General features: G+C 43.7%; 1 protein-coding gene and 1 long non-coding RNA gene across 8 annotated transcripts, besides 5 other annotated features; one reads left to right on the plus strand and one right to left on the minus strand.

Moving 5' to 3' along the window:
* Positions 1 to 606: 606 nt before the first annotated feature.
* On the minus strand, positions 607 to 20164 carry ZNF550 (zinc finger protein 550). Of its 7 annotated transcripts, none has more exons than XM_047438312.1 (6): positions 18984 to 20164; positions 15000 to 15126; positions 11396 to 11491; positions 5226 to 6762; positions 2420 to 3352; positions 607 to 2012 (listed from the first exon to the last, which is right to left on the minus strand). In XM_047438312.1, exons 2-4 carry the CDS (start codon positions 15124 to 15126, stop codon positions 5744 to 5746), a joined length of 1242 nt encoding a protein of 413 aa, XP_047294268.1. In that variant the 5' UTR covers positions 18984 to 20164; the 3' UTR covers positions 607 to 2012; positions 2420 to 3352; positions 5226 to 5743. The 7 variants fall into 7 exon arrangements, with proteins under 7 accessions (XP_047294268.1, NP_001264020.1, NP_001264019.1 ...); NM_001277091.2 differs by lacking the exon at positions 18984 to 20164 and adding an exon at positions 18425 to 18632 and having other exon boundaries at positions 3006 to 3352; NM_001277090.2 differs by lacking the exon at positions 18984 to 20164 and adding an exon at positions 18425 to 18632.
* Positions 17674 to 17753: an enhancer, noted in NCBI's record as "active region_15144". NCBI's record gives its function as "activates an Ori minimal core promoter by ATAC-STARR-seq in GM12878 lymphoblastoid cells {active_cell/tissue: GM12878}" and the evidence as "EXISTENCE:reporter gene assay evidence [ECO:0000049][PMID:35858748]".
* Positions 17898 to 18762: an enhancer, noted in NCBI's record as "H3K27ac-H3K4me1 hESC enhancer chr19:58070497-58071361 (GRCh37/hg19 assembly coordinates)". NCBI's record gives its function as "activates a minimal SCP1, AML or CMV promoter by ChIP-STARR-seq in naive H9 embryonic stem cells {active_cell/tissue: H9 hESC(naive)}" and the evidence as "EXISTENCE:reporter gene assay evidence [ECO:0000049][PMID:30033119]".
* Positions 18204 to 18253: an enhancer, noted in NCBI's record as "active region_15145". NCBI's record gives its function as "activates an Ori minimal core promoter by ATAC-STARR-seq in GM12878 lymphoblastoid cells {active_cell/tissue: GM12878}" and the evidence as "EXISTENCE:reporter gene assay evidence [ECO:0000049][PMID:35858748]".
* On the plus strand, positions 18711 to 22878 carry LOC124904781 (uncharacterized). Its single transcript, XR_007067357.1, has 2 exons — positions 18711 to 18887; positions 22633 to 22878. It is a non-coding gene; the product is annotated as an uncharacterized LOC124904781 (long non-coding RNA).
* Positions 18740 to 19939: an enhancer, noted in NCBI's record as "BRD4-independent group 4 enhancer chr19:58071339-58072538 (GRCh37/hg19 assembly coordinates)". NCBI's record gives its function as "activates an origin of replication core promoter dependent on BRD2, P300/CBP, MED14 and CDK7 cofactors, and independent of BRD4, by STARR-seq in HCT116 cells {active_cell/tissue: HCT116}" and the evidence as "EXISTENCE:reporter gene assay evidence [ECO:0000049][PMID:35650434]".
* Positions 18884 to 18993: an enhancer, noted in NCBI's record as "active region_15146". NCBI's record gives its function as "activates an Ori minimal core promoter by ATAC-STARR-seq in GM12878 lymphoblastoid cells {active_cell/tissue: GM12878}" and the evidence as "EXISTENCE:reporter gene assay evidence [ECO:0000049][PMID:35858748]".
* Positions 22879 to 23037: the final 159 nt, after the last annotated feature.

Here is a 23037-nt window from a genome sequence, read left to right on the forward strand (position 1 = left end):
AAAAAAAAAAATTGTGTAATTATAGGAACTTTGGAAAGATTGTTATTCAACTGATATTACATAAGGTATTTATTTTGTAAATTATTTGCAATATTAGAATTTCTGTCAGCCTACAGTATTTCTCTGCTGTTATTCTGACCTTAACACATTGAAAGAGTTCTTAATTTTGCTTCGCCATCCCTTACGCATACTTAATTTTTGTTATTTTGCCAAATTCCAATTATCTTTACAAGATCATTTTATTTTTTAAAAGAGCTAACCAGACAAGAAAATTTGCCCTTGTTATTCCCACTTCCTATATAGCTTGTCTGCCAAAACCTTTATGCCATTATTCTCATCAGTCTCATTCTCAGGGGTTTCTCTGAGCAAATCCATATAAAAGTGGAACTATATGACATTTCCTGCCCCGTTCTCATGCTTCATCTTTAATAGGTAAATTTACCATTTTAAATAGTTTTAAAATTATCTTCACTGTGTGTACTTTGGATTTAATCCTTACTAATGATTAAGATGCTCTAAGAATCAATGTAAAACTAATTTTAAAGCCAGCAGCATAATTTTGTGAGTTATGCCTGAGTATTCAAAAATCCTAACAAGTCAAAAATATTAATTAAAATCAATATGTTTAATCTTTCCAATTAAATACTTCCATTCCATAAACTTCAGAACCAAAGTTAGATACCAACAAGAGACTGAAGATAAATACAGTGTCAATAGTATCAAGGGACTAGCCCATATAATATACTTGAAAATCGTATTAATCACCAATAAAGTACCCCACCATAAACAAAATACACAATAAAAAGTCAAGATACAAATAAAGACAGGCCAACATATGAGTAGACCATTGACAGAAGAGGAAAAACAAAAGGCAATGAAAGGATATGAACTAATGTTCAAATGTATTTCAATATGAGAAATACCAGATATATTCTATATCACTTTAAACTTCTAAAGTAAAAACTGGAAAGCTGGGTAATTCTAAATATTGTCTGGGACACAGTGATACAGAAACACTTTTGTCCATCTTATGGGAGAGGAAGGGCAATGTATAACATAATTCCAGTTACATACTAGATCACCATATGACCTAGCCATTCAGCTGCAAGGTACATTTCTCATGTATGGCCATAAGTTTATTTAGAACATAATACTGATGACCTTATTTTTAAGGTTGAATCAAGCTGGTGGTGATATATTTCATAGCAGGAAAATGGAGGAAATACATGTCCATAATCAGAGGATTTGAATCAAGGATGAAAGCTTCATGATGTAAAATATTACATGGCAGTTAAAAACAATTGGCTAGAGGTAAGCCCATGAAATATAGGATAGAAATATAATATTTTGCTGTAGTTTGAGTGAAAAAGAAAAAAAAAGAATTGTGAGGTCTACAATAAAACATAATTTAAAAATAATTTAATACCACAAAAACTCCAAAGAAAAAAAACCAAAACAACCCAGACACTTCTTACTAGAACATATGTTCCATGCTTCTATCTCGGCTTCTGGTAGCCCCGTGTGTTCCTTGGCTTGAAGATGTTCTTCCTGTGTCTTCACATCGTCTTCCCTCTGTACATCTGCCTCTGTGACCAAATTTCCCATTTTTCTAAGGACACAGTCATAGTCAATTAGGAACTAACCTAATGGATTAACTAACATGATTACCTGAGGTTCTGAGGGTAACGACTCCAACATCTTTTTTGGAGACACAAACACTTAACATTGCCCTATGAATTTCTGCAGTTCTTCAAAGGGCAGAGTGAATAATAACCACAGCAATTTCAAGACACACAGGCTTCCATTGTGAGATGGCTTGTTTAAAGAAACTATTAATTCCCTACACTCTTCTGATCACTCTGTTGTTCACATTCATTTTAGGATTTCTCTTCCAAATCACTTCTGGTGCTTTCCTTCTTGCTTCTTTCATTTCCTTCGGTGTTGTAGTTCTATTATGTTTTTATTCCGTCAGCAATTTCTTAAATTTCTCTTTTCAACCTTAAGCAGTTTTTCTGAAATTATAAAATTTACTGTGAACATTTCAAACATTTCCACATGTGCATGAAGTTAAAGTGAACTCTGACATTCCCCTCTACCCCATCCCTTCCCTCCCTCTACACCCAAGGAGCAAATACCATTTAACTGGGTGAGGATCCTTCCAGACACATTTTTTGTCTGCTTACAAATATTAAGATTTCTAATTCGTCTTTGCATGACCGACTTGCCGAGTTAATTTACCGTCCACATTTCCTCTGTGACATTTACTGATTGAAGTGCACCAACTGTGAATGGTCATAACTAGTCCCACCCCCACAATCATTTCTCACAGATTAAGCAGCATAAGAGCATAGTGCTTTTTATCTAATTTGTTCATTAAATGTAACAAAGTTACAAAAACATGAACATGAAAACGTTTTACCTCTGCCGGGCACGGTGGCTCACGCCTGTAATCGCAGCACTTTGGGAGGCAGAGGCGGGTGGACTACATGAGGTCAAGAGTTCAAGACCAGCCTGGCCAACATGGTGAAACCCCGTCTCTACTAAAAATACAAAAAAACTAGCCGGGCATGGTGGTGGGCGCCTGTAATCCCAGCTACTCGGGAGGCTGAGGCAGGAGAATCCCTTGAACTCGGGAGGCAGAAGTTGCAGTGAGCTGAGATGGCGCCACTGCACTCCAGCCTGGGCAACAAGAGTGAAACTCTGTCTCAAAAACAAAACAAAAAACATGTTTTACCTCAATCATAAACTGTGGAAAACATACAGAAGTTCACAACTTTTACTGTAAGTTCAAAACTTCTACTGACTTAAAAACGGGTGCTAAACAAGTTTAAGTCAATATATTGCACCTGTTCTCATGTGTTTTTCCTATATTAGACAGTAAGTTCCTTCCCTGCTCAAGGGCAGGACCCATAGCCCAGCCATCCACTGCATCCCACTCTTCTAAGTATGACCACAACAGTGAGTGGCCATGGAGCTAAATGACAGGTGTCTCATGAGATTCTTGCCTATCACAGCAGCAAGTTCATAGTAGATCCTTGTACCAAACACTTCAGTGAAGACTGTATGGAAAGAGCTGGAAGCTAAGAAAAACCTAGGGTGTCCTTTATCCCATGGAAAACACTCCTGCTTTGGGACAAACTGGGGCCTAGGTCCTCAGGCCTGGAAAGAACCCTTTGATGACAGCCAATATGTTTCTAGAGGGGTTTCTCCAACTCTCTTGAACCCAGGGCCTTAGGTACAAGTACAGCCACAGCTACAATACATGCAGCCTTCCAGAGAGAGGATGCAGGAGGGTGGGGGTCCTCAAGAGTCAACTCTCCTTCCCACAGGAGAGGAAACTGTGCACTCTGTCCTGAAAAAACAAAAACAGAGAACTCTTAACTCACCAAGAATTCTATTTATAATATGTGCAAAAGGACCACAGTAAAAGGTACATGCCCACTATGAAAACATGAATATATATGCAGTGCTTTAAAAGGTTGTGAGGAAAGCTCAAAGTGAGAAAATGATAATTTTCTATTTTTCACACGTTTTAACCTAACATTATCTCATGTAGCTTGAAAACTAAAAGAAAATCTCACAAAAGGAATTTCAAATTACCAGATTCAGGCTAAGTACAGTGGCTCACACCTGTAATCCCAGCTTTTTGGCAGGCTGAGGTGGGTGGATCACCTGAGGTCAGGAGTTCGAGACCAGCCTGGGCAACATGGCAAAACCCTGTCTCTACTAAAAATACAAAAATTAGCTGGGCATGGTAGTACATGCCTGTAATCCCAGCTTCTTGGGAGGCTGAGGCAGGAGAATCGCTTGAACCCGGGAGGCAGAGGTTGCAATGAGCCAAGATCGCACTCCTGCACTCCAGCCTAGGCAGCGGAGTGAGACTCCATCTCAAAACACAACAAAACTAATTACCATATTCAGTGCTAGCACCAAGGGACTAAGGTCATGGTGGTTAACTATGAAACTCACGTAAACCTGCCCACGTATATCCTGATTCACCTGTTAAAATGCTAGGCACTTTATTTTGTAGCAAAACTTCACGCAAATGTTTATAAGATCAGACAATGAGATTCCTCTCCATGTTGTTTTCTTGGGTTTACTGGGTTTACCATGGATTCATCTTAGTTGTGTGTTTTATTTTGCCTGTTTTAGCTATAATTCAATCCCTAGAAAAATGCTGAGGGGGACCTAAAAATACCCCTCTACACAGGATTAAAGAATCTGATAAACACCAGAAAGAATTAGGACTCATCTGAGAAGGCCAAGCAAGTACAAAGTGATCACTATGTTGCCAGAGAAAATAAAGACAACAAACAGACAGAATGGAATCAGGAAAATGTGAGAGTGCTGAGCATTTGAAACCATATTAGGCTAGGTGTGGTGGCTCACACCTGTAATCCCAACACTTTAGGAGGCTAAGCAGGATGATGACTTGAGTCTAGCAGTTTGAGACAAATCTGGGGAACACAGCAAGACCTCATCTATACAAAAAAATTTAAGGCTGGGTGCAGTGACTCACACCTGTAATCCCAGAACTTTGGGAGGCCAAGGCAGGTGGACCACTTGAAGCCAGGAGTTCCAGACCAGCCCAGCCAACATGGTAAAACCTTGTCTCTACTAAAATTACAAACATTAGCCAGGCGTAGTGGTGTATGCCTGTATCCCAAGCTACTCAGAAACTTGAGGCAAGAGGACCATTTGAGCCCAGGAGTTCGAGGTTACAGGGAACTATGATCATGCCACTGCACTCTAGCCTGGGTGACAGAGCAAGTCCCTGTCTCTTAAAAAATAATGAGTTTATTAATAAAAATCAAAGCCTTAAACAGTCTTAGGTATTGCACATTTTAATGTGGTGCACATTTTAATGTGGCCATCTGTACATGGGTTCTTCTCACCCTAGATATAAAAAAGAAGTGTCACATGAAGATGTTCTCAGTATTCTAATTTCTACTAAATTCAAGAATCTCATGACACAAGCCTTCATATTTCTCACAAAGAATTACTCTCCTCATGGATATCCTCCCAGAGATGTCTGGATCAAAGGCAACTTCCAAGAAATGCCTGAAGAGCTGCCCTCACTGTCTAACTCTGACAAAGGATGGCAGTGAATGTATGTTAAAAAAAAAAAAAAGGAATAAAACCCCTTTACCTCTCAAACATTCCCCTACCAAAAAATAAAACTGATCTTACAGGGAAGTCTGTAAGGACATAAAGCAAGAAGATACCTGTAACTGAAGGTTTTCATAAGTTCATAGAGAAAATCCCAAGGTGGGTCAAATTCCAGCATGGCTCTTTATAGGACAAGCAAGTGACAACCTGGTCACAAAGTTTTCTCACATCAATAACAATTATGTAGTAACTTTTCATTATGATTCTCAGATAGTAAGATTTCTGCTCTGGCCAAAGACTGTCCTTAATAGTTATATTTGGAATGTCTTTCTCCAGCATGAGTTCTCTGATGTTGATGGAATGCCTTCCACATTTCCCCCTGGTATGAATCCTTCTGCAATGAGTGAGAACTGAGTGGTGACTGAAGGGATCCTTACATTCACTGTATTCACAGGGCTTCTCTCCAAAGTGACTGCTCATGTGTTAGTTAAGAAAGAGCTGACAAAAAAAATGAAAAGTTTCCTGACATTCTTTGCATTCGAAGGACTTCTTCCTACAGTGTGGGTCCCATTATGAATGATAAAATAACAGTGGGTAAAGGCCTTGCTGTATTCATTGCAGCAATAGGGTTCTCTCATGTATGGACCCTTTGGTGCTGCAGAAGGTGTGACCTGCGTTTGAAGGCCTTCCCACACTCGATACACTTGTAGGGCATCTCCCCAGTGTGGATGACAGAGTGCTGAATGAGGTACGTGCTCCGGTGAAAGGCTTTCCCACACTGGGTGCATTCATAGGGCTTCTCCCCAGTGTGAATCCGCTGGTGCTGTATGAGTTCTGAGCTGCATCTGAAGGCCTTTCCACATGCCATGCAATCATAGGGCTTCTCTCCAGTGTGGATGATGTAATGTTGAATTAGGTGGGCTCTATTGCTAAAGGCTTTCTCACATTCTTTGCACTCAAAGGGCTTTTCTCCAGTGTGGGTCCTATTATGGCGAATAAAAGTAGACCGGTGGGTGAAGGCCTTTCGACATTGACTACACTCATAGGGTTTCTCTCCAGTGTGGATTGGATGGTGCTGCATGAGGTACGACCTGCGTTTGAAGGCCTTCCCACACTCAAGGCACTTGTATGGTTTCTCCCCGGTGTGGATGAGGTAGTGCCGAATGAGAGTTGAGCTCTGGCTAAAGGCTTTCCCACATGCATTGCATTCATAGGGTTTCATTCCAGTGTGAACCCTCTGATGTCGAACGAGATACCACTTCCTGTTAAAACCTTTCCCACACTGCTTGCATTTGTAGGGGTTTGTCCCTGCATGAATCAAGGCGTCTTTCCCTGGTTGCTGTGAGTCACATTCATGGAGAACATCTGCTGATAACCACTCTTGTAATGCCCTGGAGTGCAGACCATCATCTGTCCCCAAACCTTCACCTTCAAGGCTCACTTTCCCAAGATGGGTCTCCTTGTGGAGGTCTGTCTCCGGTGTCACTTTACCTTTCTGCATTTCCAAAAGCCCTTCCTCATCCCTAGCTCTCCCCAACCTCGAATCACTTGAGGTTGAAGATTCCAGAGTCAGGCTTCCCCGGAGAAAGGCCCGCTCAGATAAGACTGGCGGGTAAGTGGTTGGCTCTCTGGTATGAACTTGTGCTCTGTCACCTGAAGGGCATCAACAAACAAAGGAGGGGTCTTTTAGTGATAAAATATAGAAAAACACAAAATAACCACTTCAGTAGGAAAATGAAGATGAAAATAGTGCCTATGATACTTGCTGCATTTTTACATCTCTAACCCAGGTTACCAAATACTGCTTACGGTCCTTGTATCCTTGACACCATTAAAGGGAAAATCTGGAGGGCAGGCTGGACCGGGGGACAGAGGATCCGGAGTAAAGACATTTCTCTTTACAGTTCAGAGTAAGGAAGAGATAATAGAGTTTTGATGACATTGTCTGAAGGGCATTTGCTTTAAGAATTGAACGCTTACATCCATCTGACAAGGGATTAATAACCAGAATATATAAGGAGCTTAAACCACTCTATAGGAAAAAATCTAAGAATCTGATTTAAAAATGGGCAAAAGATCTGAATAGACACTTCTCAAAAGAATACATACAAATGGCCAACAGGTATATGAAAAACTGCTCAATATAATTGACCATCAAAGAAATGCAAATCAAAACTACAATAAGGTATCATCTCATCCTAGTCAAAATGGCTTTTGTCCAAAAGACAGGCAATAACAAATGGTGGCAAGGATGTGGAAAAAAGGGAACCCTCATACACTGTTGGTGGGAATTTCAATTAGTACAACTGCCATGGAGAACAATCTGGAGGTTCCTCAAAAAACTAAAAATAGAGCCACCATATGATCCAGCAATCCCAGTGGAGGTATATACCCAAAAGAAAAAAAACATCAGTACATCAAAGAGATATCTGCACTACCATGTTTACTGCAGTACTAGGCACAATAGCCAAGATTTGGAAACAATTTAAGGGTCCATCAACAATGAATGGACAAAGAAAATGTGGTGTGTATACACAATGGGGTACTATTTGGCCATAAAAAAGGAGATCCTATCATTTGCAACAACAGGGATGGAACTAAAAATCAAAACAACTGAACTCATGGAGAGAGAGTAGTAAGATGGTTACTGGAAACTGGGAACGGCAGTAGGATGGAGTAGGATCCTACTCCATGGAGTAGTGAGGATGGTTAATGGGTACCAAAATGAAGTTAGAAAAGAATGAATAAGACCTAGTATTTGATAGCACAACCGGGTGGCTATAGTCAAAAATAATTTATTCTATACTTTGAAATAACTAAGGGTATAACGGGATTGTTTGTAACACAAAGAAAGGATAAATGCTTGAGGTGACAGATACTTCCTTTACCTTGATGTGATTATTATGCATTGTATGCCTATATTAAAATATCTTATGTACCCACATAAATTAAAAATTAGCCAGGCGTGGTGGTGCATGCCTGTAATCCCAGCTACTCGGGAGGCTGAGGCAGGAGAATCGCTTGAACCCGGGAGGCAGAGGTTGCAGTGAGCCGAGATTGCACCATTGCACTCTAGCCTGGGCAACAAGAGCAAAACTCTGTCTCAAAGAAGAAAAAGAAAAATAAAAATAAATGAAGCCTTTTGGTGCTATAAGAGTTTAGGGAAGTTGCACCTAATGAGACTGGAAAGAAAAAGAGATCATGGAAGGCTTTCTAGAGGAGGTGTCCCATAAGCTGAGTCCTAAAAGAGAAGCCAGAGTCATTGCCAGAGAGAGGAAGTGGGCAATGGGTTGAAGGTGAGGAAGTAAAAATGGGTAGATTCACCCTTTGGGCACCAGATGCCTGGTGAAACCAATATAAAAGGGTGATTAGAGTTGGAGCAAGAAAATGAAGATTCCAGCACAAAAGGGATGGAAGTACACACAGGAACAAATGGTACAAAAGGCCTAGTGTAGTAAGATCTGACAAGTTTCTGCTGTGTCAGGAGGCACAATGCATGGCAGACAAGAGGGTACTGGAGACAGAATGACTCAGTTCAAATCCTGCCTGTGTCAAGTGGGTTGATACTGGAGGATGACTTTCTCCACCAGGTCTCCAATTCCTCAACTAAGAGACTAGGAGACTCAATTTCTCAGGCTGTCATGAGGTTAAATGAGAAAATGCACAGTTCTTGATGCAGCGCAAGTGTTCATTAAATTGTGGGACATTACCCTTATTATTTTCATTGCTGCGCTGGGCAATTTGGGTAATGCCAGTGACACTAGCAAGAACAACTTCAGTGCTGTGATCTGAGGAAGCTAGCAGCTGTGCTTCATGAAGTGGCCAGCATCGCATGCTTAGAAGACCCGAGTGCAGCAGCAGTCTCATACCTGGAATGGTGGGGATGGGAAATGGTGCGGCTACTCTGGAAAAATATTTGGGGGTTTGACTTAAAACTGAGCACAGATCTGTCTCTTGACTCCACCAGTCATCTCCTGGGTGTATATGCAACAGAAATGAGTGTTTATATCCACTAAATATTATGGAAAATAGTATTCATAGCAGCATTCTTCATAATCTCCAAACAAGGTAAACAATACAAATGTCAACCAATAGGAGAGTGAAGAAACAGATCCTGATGTTTTCACATAATTTTATGGTACACAGCATATAGGATAAACCCAGCTCATGGACACAATGATGGTGAAAAGAAGAAATACACAAAAGAGAAACTGCTTTGGGGCTCCAATTATGCCCATTCACAACCAATTAAAAACTAGTCCCTAGGGAGAGAGTCTAAACAGTGGCTCCCACTGCAGGAGGAGCTATTGACAAAGACAGGGTAACAGAAACTGCCGAGGTGCTGGAAATATTGTAAATCTTGACCTAGATGAAGAATTCAATTTGCAGAAATGCAAAAATTTAAGCTGAGCCCTTCAAATTTGTACTTATTATTGTATACATAAGATTTTTTTTAGTTTGAGAAATTTTAAACAAAAAAATATTAAAGTCAAGTGTAAACATCTCTTCCAAACATGAGACAACTCCAAGAAGCTTGGCTTTACAAGTGGGGTCAACACAAGTTACAGGGTATTGTAGGTGAAAAAGCATTTTGTCTGTTTTCGCCAAGTGTAAGCAATTTGAGTACACTTTTTTTTGTTTGTTTAAACTTATATTCACTTTCTGGTTTTGTATTGTGCACACTTTTTATTTGAATATAGATAAGTTGAAGGTACAGACAAAGCAGAGATTTTTTTTAAAAAAAGCAAGTTCCCTGAGAACACAGCAGGTATGATGCAGGCACTGGCAAAGACACTGACCATGACTAGAGGTAAGATCTCCTCCATAGAGGACAAGAGAAGCCAAGTATGAGACCGTGCAGATGAATCTTTAAGAACATTAAATACACATCCTATTTTTAACATGAAATTAATTATATACTGAAACATCAGCTGCTGGGGAAGTGGTGAAAATCTGAAACACATCTGAGTGGCTGCAGGAGCCGGTGCAGGGACAAGAGCTGCCCAGAGGAATGGGGCAGATGTGGGGAGACCTGTCAGGAGCCTCTGGTATGGCCCAGGCAGAAGATTATGAGAGCCCGGACTAGGGTGTTGGTGAAGGAGCCAAGGGAAGCAGTGGAAGTGATGGACTTAGGAGATATGGATCATTTAAAATGAGCAGGACTAGGGATGAATGGATGCTGGGTTTGATGAAGGTAGGTGGAGTCCAGGAGCTATGTGGTGTGTTTCCAGCCTTCTAACCTGCTTGGATGGTAAGACATTCTCTGAACTGAGTGTCTTTTTAGGCATCAGGAGCTAAAGGTGCCTCTGAGACACTTAAGTGGAGATGTGGGATTGAGGGAATGGGAAGGGAGGTATTTGGAACACAGGGTTGCAGATGGGGCTGGCCAAGAAGCCCAAGGGGAGAGCCCATGACTCAGTGGTGATACAAATCCACAAGGCAAATGGCTCCAGCTACACTCATCAGCACAGATGTAGGGCAGAGAAGGCCAAATGTCACCTTGGTGTTTCTCAGGGCAAGAGGGGCAGGAAGATATGGAGCAAAGGGCTGCTTCCGAGTCTCTGATGGTCTAACTGGAGGATGGATGAGTGGACGGAGAGGGTGGAAAAGAGTGGGATTCACAGCATAATGCAGACAGTAATATCAAGGGGAGGAAAGTCCCCTTTCTCTTGAGTCCAGAAAGAAATGTATGACATTACATTTATGATGATTAAAACTGTTCATGCATAATACTAACTAGCTGACATTTGTTGATCCTATGGACCAGGAACTGAACTAAGCAGTGTCATGTGTTATCTCTACATCCTCTAACAACTCAATGACACAGAAATTATATCACTCTGATTTTGTTGAGTAGAGGAGTCTGAGGTGATGTAAACCAAACCCATTAATTCTTTTCCATGGGCACATAGCCAAATCACATTTGTCAGTCCTGAGCATCTAGGTGTGGCCAAATGCCTAGTTCTTGTCAAGACTATGTGGTTGTCAAGTATGTGTACAACTGGGTATGACTTCTCCCCTTCTTCTTGTTCCCCTTCTACCAGCTGGATTGAGCCAGAGCAACCATAAAGATTCCTGTTCACAGCAAAAGGTACCTGTGTCTCTGAATAATTGTGTGGCTCAGTGCTCACCTGATGATGGACACTATGACCCAAAGTGAGTCAGAAACAACCAGGCCCCCGGAAAGCCACAATGAGCAGTTTCACACAGAAATTCAGAGGCAGTGGTGCCCTCACATTATCTGAAGACTGCCATGACTCCACATGACCAGCTGGTGGCTGCTTACCTGCACAGGTAGCATGTGAGAGGCCTCTCTTCACTATCCACAGCTCCTGCCCATGCTCTAGCAGGTGGACCAACTCTGGTTTGGGAACCCGATGCCCTGTTGATAGCAAAAGAAATAGAATAGGGGTAATTTAATGAGAAAATGAAAGTCTCTCCATCTTGCCTAGGACTTCATGACAGGGTCCAGACATGAATGCAGCTGCTCCCAAAGTAAGCAAAATGCTGATGTGAGCCCTGAAAATCAAGGGCATTGCTCTGAGTGAGCTGTGTTCCCCATAAAAATCATATGTTGATGCCCTAACACCCAACGTGACTGTATATGGAGACAGGATCTTTAGAAGGTAATTAAAATTAAATGAGGCCACAAGGGTGGAGCCTTAATCTGATAAAATTATGGCCTCATAAAAACAGAGAGAGATCTCTCCTCTGTCCCTCCACCTTGTAAGAACACAGCAAGTCAGCCATCTGCAAGCCAGGAAGAGAGGTCTCAATAGGAATCAAATTTGCCGACACCTTGATCTTGGACTTCTCAGCCTCCAGAAGCATAAGAAAATAAACTCTCGTTGTTTAAACCACCCAATCCATGACATTTTATTATGGCAGCCAAGGAGATAAAAGACAGGCACAAATCCCACTGTTGGGCTACAACTGCCATGGAGGGTAGTGCTATCTGTCTACACAACACCCACTGCCCATGACCTCCGTCTATGGAAGCCAACGTTGTTCAGGCACACAACACTTTGACAGCCATGGGACACGGCAAAGGTGTGCTGCTTCCTCCAGAAGGCATTTTCTTTCTTTCTTTCTTTCTTTTTTTGAAACAGAGTCTCACTCTGTTGCCCAGGCTGGAGTGCAGTGCTCGGCTCACTGCAACCTCTGCCTCCCAGGTTCAAGGGATTCTCGTGCCTCAGCCACCCGAGTAGCAGGGATTACAGGCATGCAAAACCATGCCTGGCTAGTTTTTGTATTTTTAATAGAGACTGGGATTCACAATATTGGTCAGGCTGGTCTCGAGTGCCTGGCCTCAAGTGATCCTCCTGCCTCAGTCTCCCAAGGTGCTACTGCACCCGGCCCCAGGAGGCATTTTCTAACAAATCTAAATCATTGCTTCTCAAACACCTCGTGCTTTCAGAACCACTTGGGGATGCGTGATTCCAACCTCAAACCAAATGAAACAAAATTTCTTCGTGTGAGACCTGGGCATCAGTACTTCCAAAATGTGCCCCCCAAAATTCTGGTGCCCAGATGGGGCTGCAAACCACTGGCTGAGGCTGGACATGGTGGCTCATGCTGTAATCCCAGCACTATAGGAGGCCGAGGCAGGAGGATCACTTGAGGCCAGGAGTTCTAAACCAGCCTGGCCAACATGGTGAAACCCCGTCTCTACCAAAAATATAAAAAATTAGCCAGGTATGGTGGTGTGCACCTATGGTCCTAGCTACTCAAGGGGATGAGGTTGGGAGGATTGCTTGAGCCTAGGAAGCAGAGGCTGCAGTGAGCTGAGATCATGGCACTGCACTTCAGCCTGAATGACAGAGCAAGACTCCATCTCAAAAAAAAAGGAAAAGAAAAACCAGTGGTTGAAATAAATTGGTAATGCAAGAGTCTTCATTAGGCAGGTGACCAAAGCTGGATTCTCATTGTGAAAAGAAAGCATTTATTCCAAGGTGGGAGGATGGATTGAACATGGGGGCCTGCTGCCCCAGTCAAGGCTGCAGCACCCAGCATCCCTATGAGGAGCCAGCCTGAGGACAATCAGAAGCCTGAACCAAGAAGAAGGAACAGAGAACCAAGACATCCTTGATGGCGTCACTGGGCTGCGGCACCGAACAAGCCTGGAGCCAACCACACCTCAGGCTTCTCATCAGGCGAGTTAGTGAATTTCCTTCCAGGTGAAGCCAGTTTGATCTGGTTTTCTGTTATATGCAGCCAAATGCTTTCCACTAGATGTGGTGAGTAAAAGACAGGAGGATTCTGTATAGAAGACCAATGACTGAGGTACAAGGATCCACAGAAACATCGACTGGCAGATTCTGAACCATAGCCCAGGATTCCTTCAGACATGTCACAGTAAGGTCCACCAATGTGTGCTACATGCCTGGCTTTGAGTTCTGGGACAGGGCTGTGGGAAAGGTGAATCAGATGATCCTTTGGCTCTCCCAAGAGCTGAGCTCCCTGTCACTTTTCACACGCTGGTTCCTCCACCTGGAACACTGTTACCCTCTTCCACCTCCTTCTATCCAGCTAACTCCTACTCAGCTTTCAGGTCTCAGCTCCACTGTCACTTCCTGAGATGCCCTCTTTGGAACTCCCACAATAGGTTATGACATCCTGCTTATTTATTCCTAAATTCCCCTCATTTTTCTTTCTAGAACTTATTTCAGTTGTCATCTATGGATTGATGTCCACCTTCCCAACTGAACTCAGAGTGTGCCATCAATTCTAATAACTTCTTTATCCTGACCCACTTTTGTTAAATATTGTATTCTAAAAGGGAACCTTGTTTTGCTCTGGTAAGTGAGAAAGTCAATTTCCCTTCCTACAAATAGAAGTCTGCAATCACAACACAACAAAATCAAAACAATGCCACTAAGTCCCAGGAAACCCTTGTATGTTTCTTAGGGCTAAGTTGGAGGTTGTCCCCTCTGTTAAAAAAAAGAAATGAACTGCACTGGGGGAGTGAAAGGAAAATGAAAGACTCAGCGCTGATCTGAGACTTTTCTTTTTTTTTGAGCCGGAGTCTTGCTCAGTCACCCAGGCTAGAATGCACTGGCGCAATGTTGGCTCACTGCAACCTCCGCCTCCCAGGTTCAAGCGATTCTCCTGCTTCAAACTCCTGAGTAGCTGGGATTACAGGCGCGCACCACTGCGCCCAGCTAATTTTTGTATTTTTAGTACAGACGGGGTTTCACCATCTTGGCCAGGTTGGTATTGAACTCCTGACCTCGTGATCCACCCGCCTCGGCCTCCCAAAGTGCTGGGATTACAGGCGTGAGCCACCACACCCAGCTGATGAGACTTTTATGACAAGAATTAGCGTGCTGGACAGAGAAAGTAAAAGGAATGGCTTTATCAGGGTATCAAACCATGCCATTTGAGGACATTCCTGTGTACCCTCTAAAAACACCTCCTGGATCAACAGAGCATGGATATCAAGCATCAGAAAACAACTAATGACCATGCAGGCACCCAGATGCCTTTTTACAGAGATTGTATTGCTTAGGAAGATATCCGAGGGGCACTGAGGACAAATGTCTTCTGGGGGGCTGCCTGACTCACCCCTTTCTCTAAGAACAGCCCATCACCCATGGCCCCTGCTTAATAGGGCTGTGGCCACAGCTGACCCCACCAGGATGGCCAATCAGCTTCCTTCTTATGCAATCTTGATTAAGGACCTCAGAATGGGCTGAGCACTGGAGTGAGGGTTTGTGTTAAAAGGACATTTTCTACCCCGACAATCTCTGATGCAGACAAAGGGAGACCAGTCAGGAAGAGGTGGGAACAGAAAGGTCTGTCAAGAGAAAGGTGGGCAGTTCCAGTGACCTTTTTGCCTGGCCAAGAATCAGGGTTAGGGTCCTCCTCAGGGATGAGAGGTGAGTCATTACCTAGTGAAACCAGAAGCCCACAGGTCTCCAGCATCACCTCTCGGTACAGGGTCCTCTGGGCCAGGTCCAGCTGTCTCCACTCCTCCCGGGTAAAGGTCACAGCCACATCCTTGAAGGTCACCAACATCTGGAAAGTCAAACAGAAGTAATGCTATTGGCCTTGTGTTGTCGCATAGGATCAGAACCTGTCACTCAGTCTCTAGTCAATGTGCAGAGAGATCCAGGTCTGAATCAACTAGGTCTCCTTTGGGCTGACTTCCGTGCAGGGCTCAAAGGGGAGGCAGATACTGCCTTTTGACAATGCAATTGTGCCTGAGAGAAAAGCCTTCTATGGGGAAGCTGTTGAAGATGACACAAACAATGGCAATCCCACGAGGACTATGGGAAGCAGAGAGTAAGTACTCTGGCATATTAAAAGAATGGAGGAAAATGACTGATACTAATCCAACCACAATAACAGCAACAGCAGCAGCTAAGTGTGGGGGAAAGAAAAATAGATCAGACCGTTACTGTGTCTATGTAGAAAAAGGAAGACATAAGAAACTCCATTTTGATCTGTACTAAGAAAAATTCTTCTGCCTTGAGATGCTGTTAATCTGTAACCCTAGCCCCAACCCTGTGCTCACAGAAACATGTGCTGTATTGACTCAAGGTTTAATGGAGTTAGGGCTGTGCAGGATGTGCCTTGGTAAACATGTGTTTGCAGGCAGTATGCTTGGTAAAAGTCATCGCCATTCTCCCGTCTCGGGTACCCAGGGACACAATGCACTGCGGAAGGCCACAGGGACCTCTGCCCGAGAAAGCCTGGGTATTGTCCAAGGTTTCCCCCCACTGAGACAGCCTGAGATGTGGCCTCGTGGGAAGGGAAAGACCTTACCTTCCCTCAGCCCGACACCCATAAAGGGTCTGTGCTGACGAGGATTCATGAAAGAGGAAGGCCTCTTTGCAGTTGAGATAAGAGGAAGGCATCTGTCTCCTGCTTGTCCCTGGGAATGGAATGTCTTGGTGTAAAACCCGAGCGTACATTCTATTTACTGAGATAGGAGAAAGCCGCCTTATGGCTGGAGGTAAGACATGCTGGCGGCAATACTGCTCTTTACTGCACTGAGATGTTTGGGTAAAGTCAAACATAAATCTGGCCTACGTGCACATCGAGGCACAGCACCTTTCCTTAAACTTATTTATGACACAGAGTCCTTTGCTCACATGTTTTCCTGCTGACCCTCTCCCCACTCATTACCCTATAGTCCTGCCACATCCCCCTCATGGAGATGGTAGAGATAGTGATCAATAAATACTGAGAGAACTCAGAGACTGGTGCTGGTGTGGGTCCTCCATATGCTGAGTGCCAGTCCCCTGGGCCCACTTTTCTTCCTCTATACTTTGTCTCTGTGTCTTATTTCTTTTCTCAGTCTCTCATCTCCACCTTGCAAGAAATACCCACAGGTGTAGAGGGGCAGGCACCCTTCACTAAGTCCTCTGGTCCTCACTGTGTCCCTGCCAGGCTAAGGCTTCCTTAGCCGTGGTAAAGCAAATAAAGGCCTGACTTAAATCAGGCCTCCTGAATCTGACACTTGCCAGCTATGTGACTATGACGATGTCACATGATCTCTCTAAGGCTCGATTTCCGAATCAACACAATAACTATTCCCATCTCAGCAGGCAGCTCTAAGAACTAAACAGAAAATGTTCACTTAGGCAATCAGTGGAGTGCCTAGCACATGTAAGTGCCTGATGTGTTTGGGAACTTTATTAATCCCCTGACAGGCCCAGAGGTAAATGTCGTTATCACTTCCATTTCACAGTCAGCAAAGGCTCAGGGAGCTTTAGAAATCAGGCACAGCCTCACATTTAAAAAGCAAAAGCAGCATTTGAGCACCGCTAAAACACCTCACCAAGCTGCCAGAGAGCAGGCAGGTGGGAGTGAGGGGTGCTTTTAGCTACAGCCAGCACTGCCAGGATGGGTGTGGAACTGCAGCCCCGCAGAGACCTGAGAACAATGTCTCAGACAAAGGGAAGTGCAAGGGCAAAGGCTGAAAATGGGAAAGAGCTTGGCAAGCTCAGGATTCCCTGGATGAATGCAGTGAGAAAGGGGACAATGGAAGAGGAGAAAGAAGATGCGGTCAAAAGGGCAAACCAAGTACAGCCTTGCAGACCATGCTGGTAGGAGGGGGTGGATTTATTGGAAATGTGATGAGAGTCCCTATAAGAGAGGCCTATTCAATCATCAACCATTTATTAAGTACAATAAATGTACTTAAGCCTGGCTGTTCTGGGTCTTGGGAGAGGGAAGCAACAGGCACTCACATTCCAGGGTTGGAAAAAGATCCTAAACAGGCAACTAAATAAATGAGTAAGGCAATGTCAGATGGCCTTAAAGATTCAGATGACAAGAAAACAGAGCAAGGAGACCAAAGAGACTCTGGTCAGCTTTAAACGGTGCAACAGACGAGACCTCTTTAAGCAGCGGACACCAGAGGGAGTCAGAAATAAAGCAAAGGAGGGAGAGGTGGATGAGAAATTAACAACTACGACAGGAGCTGACAGTAATCTGGGCTATCATGAAAGTAATCAGAGTGACTGCTAGAGAGTAACCCTGGGCCTCATGTGTTATCTCCAAAGGGACACTACATCCTGCATACCATCGCCACTGAACATTTTAATGGACTCGTTTTTCACCTGTAACTAAATGTCTTAAACAGGAAAATATACTGTTAGTTGCAACCCAGCGTCCCTTGCCCTAAACTGAAAGACAAATTCCTCAGCCTGCCCTACCACCTTTTCTGCCCTGGCATAGCAGCAACCGCAGAAACGCTCCTCCCACCTCTTTCAGCCGCTGCCCTTCGTGTTGTAGAGACAGGAGGCCAAGGAGGCCAGAGGGTCAGACTCCTGCTGGGGTTGAGTCTCCAAACCTAGCACAGGCCCAGGGAGCAGCTCCGGAAACAACATCCTGAGCGACGTCCCCGGACCGTGCTGTGCACTGAGACGGACACACACACATCACCCAGGGAGCCGTTCAAGCTTCCTCAACCCCGGGGGGGGGAAGAGTAAATATTTCTACTTTGCGCGCGCAAAAATGAAGGACGAGGACAGTAACGGGACTTGTTCAAGGTCGCAGGCCCGAGAAAGGACATGGTTGGAAGAGCCACGAGGAGGACTGCGGTCGCTCCTCTCACCTGTGAGGGGTTCCGGGACCCTAAAAGCCCTATTTCATACCACAACGCCGCGCACCCCAGAAACGGGGACGCTCCCCACGCCACCGCGGGCCTGCATTCCGGACCCGGGACCGCGCGACCCCCTTCTAGGCCTCTAAGAAGCAACGGCAGGGACTGCACTGAGGACGACCCTGAAACGCCGTCCTTCCGCTCGTCGGGCCCGGGACACTGAGGCCGGGTGGCCGCGGGGAGCCGAGCCAGTCTGCTCACCTGCGCTGCGTCCTTCGTCTCCGCCATCCGACCGTTGGCAGGACGAGGCCGCGTGGGGCAGCTCCCACGGGCTCAAAACCCTACCCCGGGTCCTACAACGGTGCGGAGGTGAGCCCCAGTCGCCCTACCATCCTTCCCAGCACAGTTCTGAGAGCGCGGACCAACACGCCCCACCACAAACGTCCACGCCAGCGAGGCCGGAAGTCCCGCCCCTGTGTCGCGGTCGCCTGCCACGCCTTTTCCTGCGCCGGCCCACTGCCTTCTAGGTAATGTAGTCTTGTCCCGTAAGAGGCCAGGCTTGGCTCTTTTTCCTTTTTTATTATGCACACCATGTTTCTGTATATCTCAGATGATCTTAGCGGAGCAAGTGTACACACTGGATTGTAAATTTTTAAAACTTCCTATTATTCGGATGCCTCAACGTCCCTACAAGCAGGCTGTGAGCACTCGCCCAGGCACCCAGGTAAACGAGTTTGATAAAGGGGGCCCTGCCACGAGGTTCCCCGCTTGCCTCCTCTGAGTGACCCAGTGACATTCCCATGTACCAGTAAAATCTTACGCCTGGTTACTGCGTCCTCCTCCACCCTGACGCCAGGCACTGTCCCTGGGACTGGCGTGGATCTGGACCCCCGCTTCCCGCGTGGAGCCATTCCCGGGACATGCTCGTGGGGTTCCGTCTGTGGGACGTCTGCCTCCTCTGTGTGGACTGGTGTTGCCCAGGGCTCAGGAAGGTCTCCAGGGGCCGTGAGTCCCCGCCCGCTTCCGGAGTCCAGCTTCGTGACACCATCGTGAGAAAGAATGCAGGGATGAGTCAAAATGAAGCCAAAGGCAAGAAGCTTTTATTGGGAAGAAAAAGTACACATTTTTGAGAAGAGTGTACTTTTCCCAAGAGAAGAGGGAAATGCGGACGTACGAGGGAGAGCGGGTCATGCACAATGGAGTTTGGGTTTCTAATTTTATGGGCTCTTCTAATTAGGGGGTGGGATAATCATGAGGTTTTTCTAGGAAAAGGTGGGAATTTCTTAGAATTGGGGTGCCAACCATTTTTATACTAAATGTGGGCGTGCTTGGATTGGCCTGGCACTGGTGGGTGTGTGATTTAATGTGGCAATGAGTGTATAATTAGGTCTGGGGTAGGAAATGGGTCAAATCTAGCGTCATGGGACAGCCTAGCCCCAATCCTGTTTGTTAAGGTCTCATCAGCCCAGTCTTCTTGTTGGAGTAGCTAATTTTAACAGCTTGATGTTTTCCCCCTTCTCCTGTGACCACACAGCATTCCTATTTTGTGGGTGTTTCTTTAATTAGAGAGTGGAATAATTATTAGGTATTCTGGAAAAGGAGGGAAATTCAGGGACCCACCTGGTTACTGCCCCCTTTCTCTCTTATTTGGCTTTGCCCAGAAGAGTCATGGACATGTCATCCTGACTGGGATTTTGGCCATTCTTTCTCTTATTTTGGGTTTTCTGTTATCCTATGGTTTCTTTGCCTAGTTCTTGTTTTTATTTGTTGTTCGAATTTTTCCATCCTCCTGCAACCACCCAGTGCTATTCCTATATCACTGTGAGTATAAACACCCTTTAACCTTATAGGCTTCTTGAAGTATAATTCCCAAGACCATGTTGCAGTGGTCCTTAAAGAACCAATAAGGCAGAGAGAAACAAACATGTTCCAAATTTTGTTCTCAGGAGTAAACCTTACTCAATTGTTAAAGGCTGTAGCTAGCTCAAAAGAAGTTTCCTTGACTCTGAAAAACAAAACAAGGATCAGCAATGTTCCAAGCAAAAGTCAAAAAGATTATTTCAGTTTTTCTATTAGTTCAGCCTATTCTGTTAACTCTTGTTCTGCTTGATATTTATAAACATTTTAGCTTTTCATGAGTCCTGTATGTTTTTCAGTTATCAGAAACCTGCATTTAGGAATACCTGTTAAAGTATTCCTACATCTGATTATGAACCATATTTTGAAGAGGATTAAAACAAGACAACAATTGTCTGTAAATGACAAAATGTCCAGGGTGGTTAGTCAAAAACATGATTGACAAAAAAAATTTGGTTATCTCCGTGGTTTACAATAACAACATAACAACCTTAATTGTGGTTGATAGTGTATACTTTCACATTAGAGTTTTCTAAATCCCATGCAGTTTTGGAACACATATTAATAGTATTTGCTGAAATATAACCTGAAGAAGATTAGACATCATTTTGGCAATCCCATGTAACAAAACATGTCAAATAATCCTGCTTGCCTCTTTTCTGGATGCCCCAGGGACCCTCTGTAGCATCCAAAACGTAGGTGTCAAGAAAGACAATTGATTTGTGGAAGCCTGTTAAATATGTTAACAGGCTTAAAATATTTGATGTTATGTACTAGAATTCCAGATTACTATAAGTTATTTATTTTGCCAAAATGATGACTCAAAAATTTGAAAAAGCAAAAACCTTTCATTAGCCTTTACTATTACATGAAAATTGTGTTCAAGAGAGAGAAAGCCAAATTTCACCCTTACATTAGTGTACTATTAATGTCAACCACAATTTTTAATGAAACAATTATAGGCAATTCTATCCAATCTTAACCAGTTTGACAATGAGGTGAGATTTTCACAAACCTTTTATAACCCTTTACAAATTTTGCTAAAGAGTAGATTCATGCATTAAGAGTTCTTTGTTGTGCTTTTATTTCAATGCTCAATTTACAGAAAACCACATAATACCCTTTTGAATGTAGTCAATATATTCACACAGAGTTTCCTTTGCAAGATTAATTCTTACAATTTTTTCCCCAGTTTGCTTAAACCTTCAGTTGTATTTTATCTACTTTAAGACAATTCTTTATCCCTAGGCAAAACGTACATTGCCATGCCTTCTTATAATTTTTTACAAAAAACACATTTTACTGTTTTTACACACATTGCATGTAAATCTATTCAGTAGTCTCAATTACATGTCATAATGGTAACTCTTAGCAATTTTTTTTTTAAGATGGAATCTTGCTCTGTCACCCAAGCTGGAGTGCAGTAGCACAGTCTTGGTTCACCGCAACCACCACCTCCCAGGTTCAAGCGATTCTCCTGCCTCAGCCTCCCAAGTAGCTGGGACTACAGGCACATGCCACCATGCCAGGCTGATTTTTTGTATTTTTAGTAGAGATGGGGTTTCACCGCATTAGCCAGGATGGTCTCAATCTCCTGACCTCGTGATCTGTCCGCCTCAGCTTCCCAAAGTGCTAGGATTACATGTGTGAGCTACCACGCCTGGCCCTACCTCTTAGCAATTTTTAACTTTAGTGTAAAACCTGGTAAGTTGTTTTAATTATTTGCTGGGTGCAGATAAAGTTTAACTCCTTCCAGAATAAGTTAGGGGCTTGGTTACTTCCATATGTTCCCAGACTTTACCCATTGTGAAGCAGGCAAGTTGAACAGTTCTTAAAGGCCAAAGGAGCAGTACAACCTTAAAACATTTAGCAAACCTACCATCTGACCTGCATAATTTAGACCACATATTTACATCTTGAGTACATTTGTATTTTACCAATAATCCCTAAGACTGTTTTATTTTTAAAGATTAAAGTCACATGAACTAAGAGAAATTACAGTTTTTACTATTCTTTCAAAAAAGATTTGATCGGCCAGGCGCAGTGGCTCACACCTGTAATCCCAACACTTTGGGAGGCTGAGGTGGGTGGATCATAAGGTCAGGATATTGAGACCATCTTGGCCAACATGGTGAAACCCCATCTCTACTAAAATACAAAAAATTAGCCAGGCATGGTGGCACGTGCCTGTAATCCCAGCTACTTGGGAGGCTGAGGCAGAGCAATTGCTTAAACCTGGGAGGCGGAGGTTGCAGTGAGCCAAGATCGCACTACTGCACTCCAGCCTGGTGACAGAGCAAGACTCAGTCTGGGAAAAAAAGAATTTTATTTGATCTAAGTGCTTATAGGCCAATCAATTACAGCTCTTTTTTATAGACATCACACAACACATATATGACTACACAGACAGAAGAAGATCCAGCAGCTCAGGGTGGAGCCCTTTAAGAATAAGGCTACAAAAGCATGCAGTTTCTGGGGCCTAATAAACAGGCATAGCTCGAAGGCCAAAACAGATTTTGAGAGGGATTTATCCATCTCTAATTCTTGGGGTTCCATGAGGAAAACAGATTTCCCCCAAATTGAATCTGTGGCACCTTGTCTGTTTTCTCAAGGAGTCCAAGGCCACCAGAAGTCATCCTTGAGCCTTTCATGCATGCACCAAGATTGGCAAGACAGAGTGGAGAAAAGTAATTCAGTTGACTGAGATACAAACCTTTTCCAGAAAAACAAGATCTAAGAAGAGAAAAACATAAAGGCGTTTCAAGGACACCTATAACTTGGGTATCCACTTTTAATTAAGCTGAGTGCTCTTTCATAAAATTCTTCTTTACTAATTAAAACTTTACAGATAATATAAACAATGATCCTTATCTTTTTTTTTTTTTTACTGGTTTGCATCACTCTTTGTTCACAATCATGTTCAGGTTCTCCAGTTTACTTTTGGGGAAAGTGGCTGGATTCAGGCAAGGACAGGTTTTTAACTGGACTGTAGATCCCTCTAACAGCAAGCCCTGATA

Source organism: Homo sapiens, chromosome 19, assembly GCF_000001405.40.
Source record: "Homo sapiens chromosome 19, GRCh38.p14 Primary Assembly".
NCBI classification, from domain to species: Eukaryota; Metazoa; Chordata; class Mammalia; order Primates; family Hominidae; genus Homo; species Homo sapiens.

What these genes read in the sequence shown, in the direction of transcription:
- ZNF550 (NM_001277092.2), bottom strand. Translation starts at nt 18,451, where the DNA reads ATGGCGGAGACGAAGGACGCAGCGCAG. An exon ending in AGACGAAGGACGCAGCGCAG is followed by an intron (nt 15,127 to 18,424) that starts GTGAGCAGACTG and finishes TTGACTTTCCAG; the next exon opens with ATGTTGGTGACCTTCAAGGA. An exon ending in TGGGCTTCTGGTTTCACTAG is followed by an intron (nt 11,492 to 14,999) that starts GTAATGACTCAC and finishes TGCTATCAACAG; the next exon opens with GGCATCGGGTTCCCAAACCA.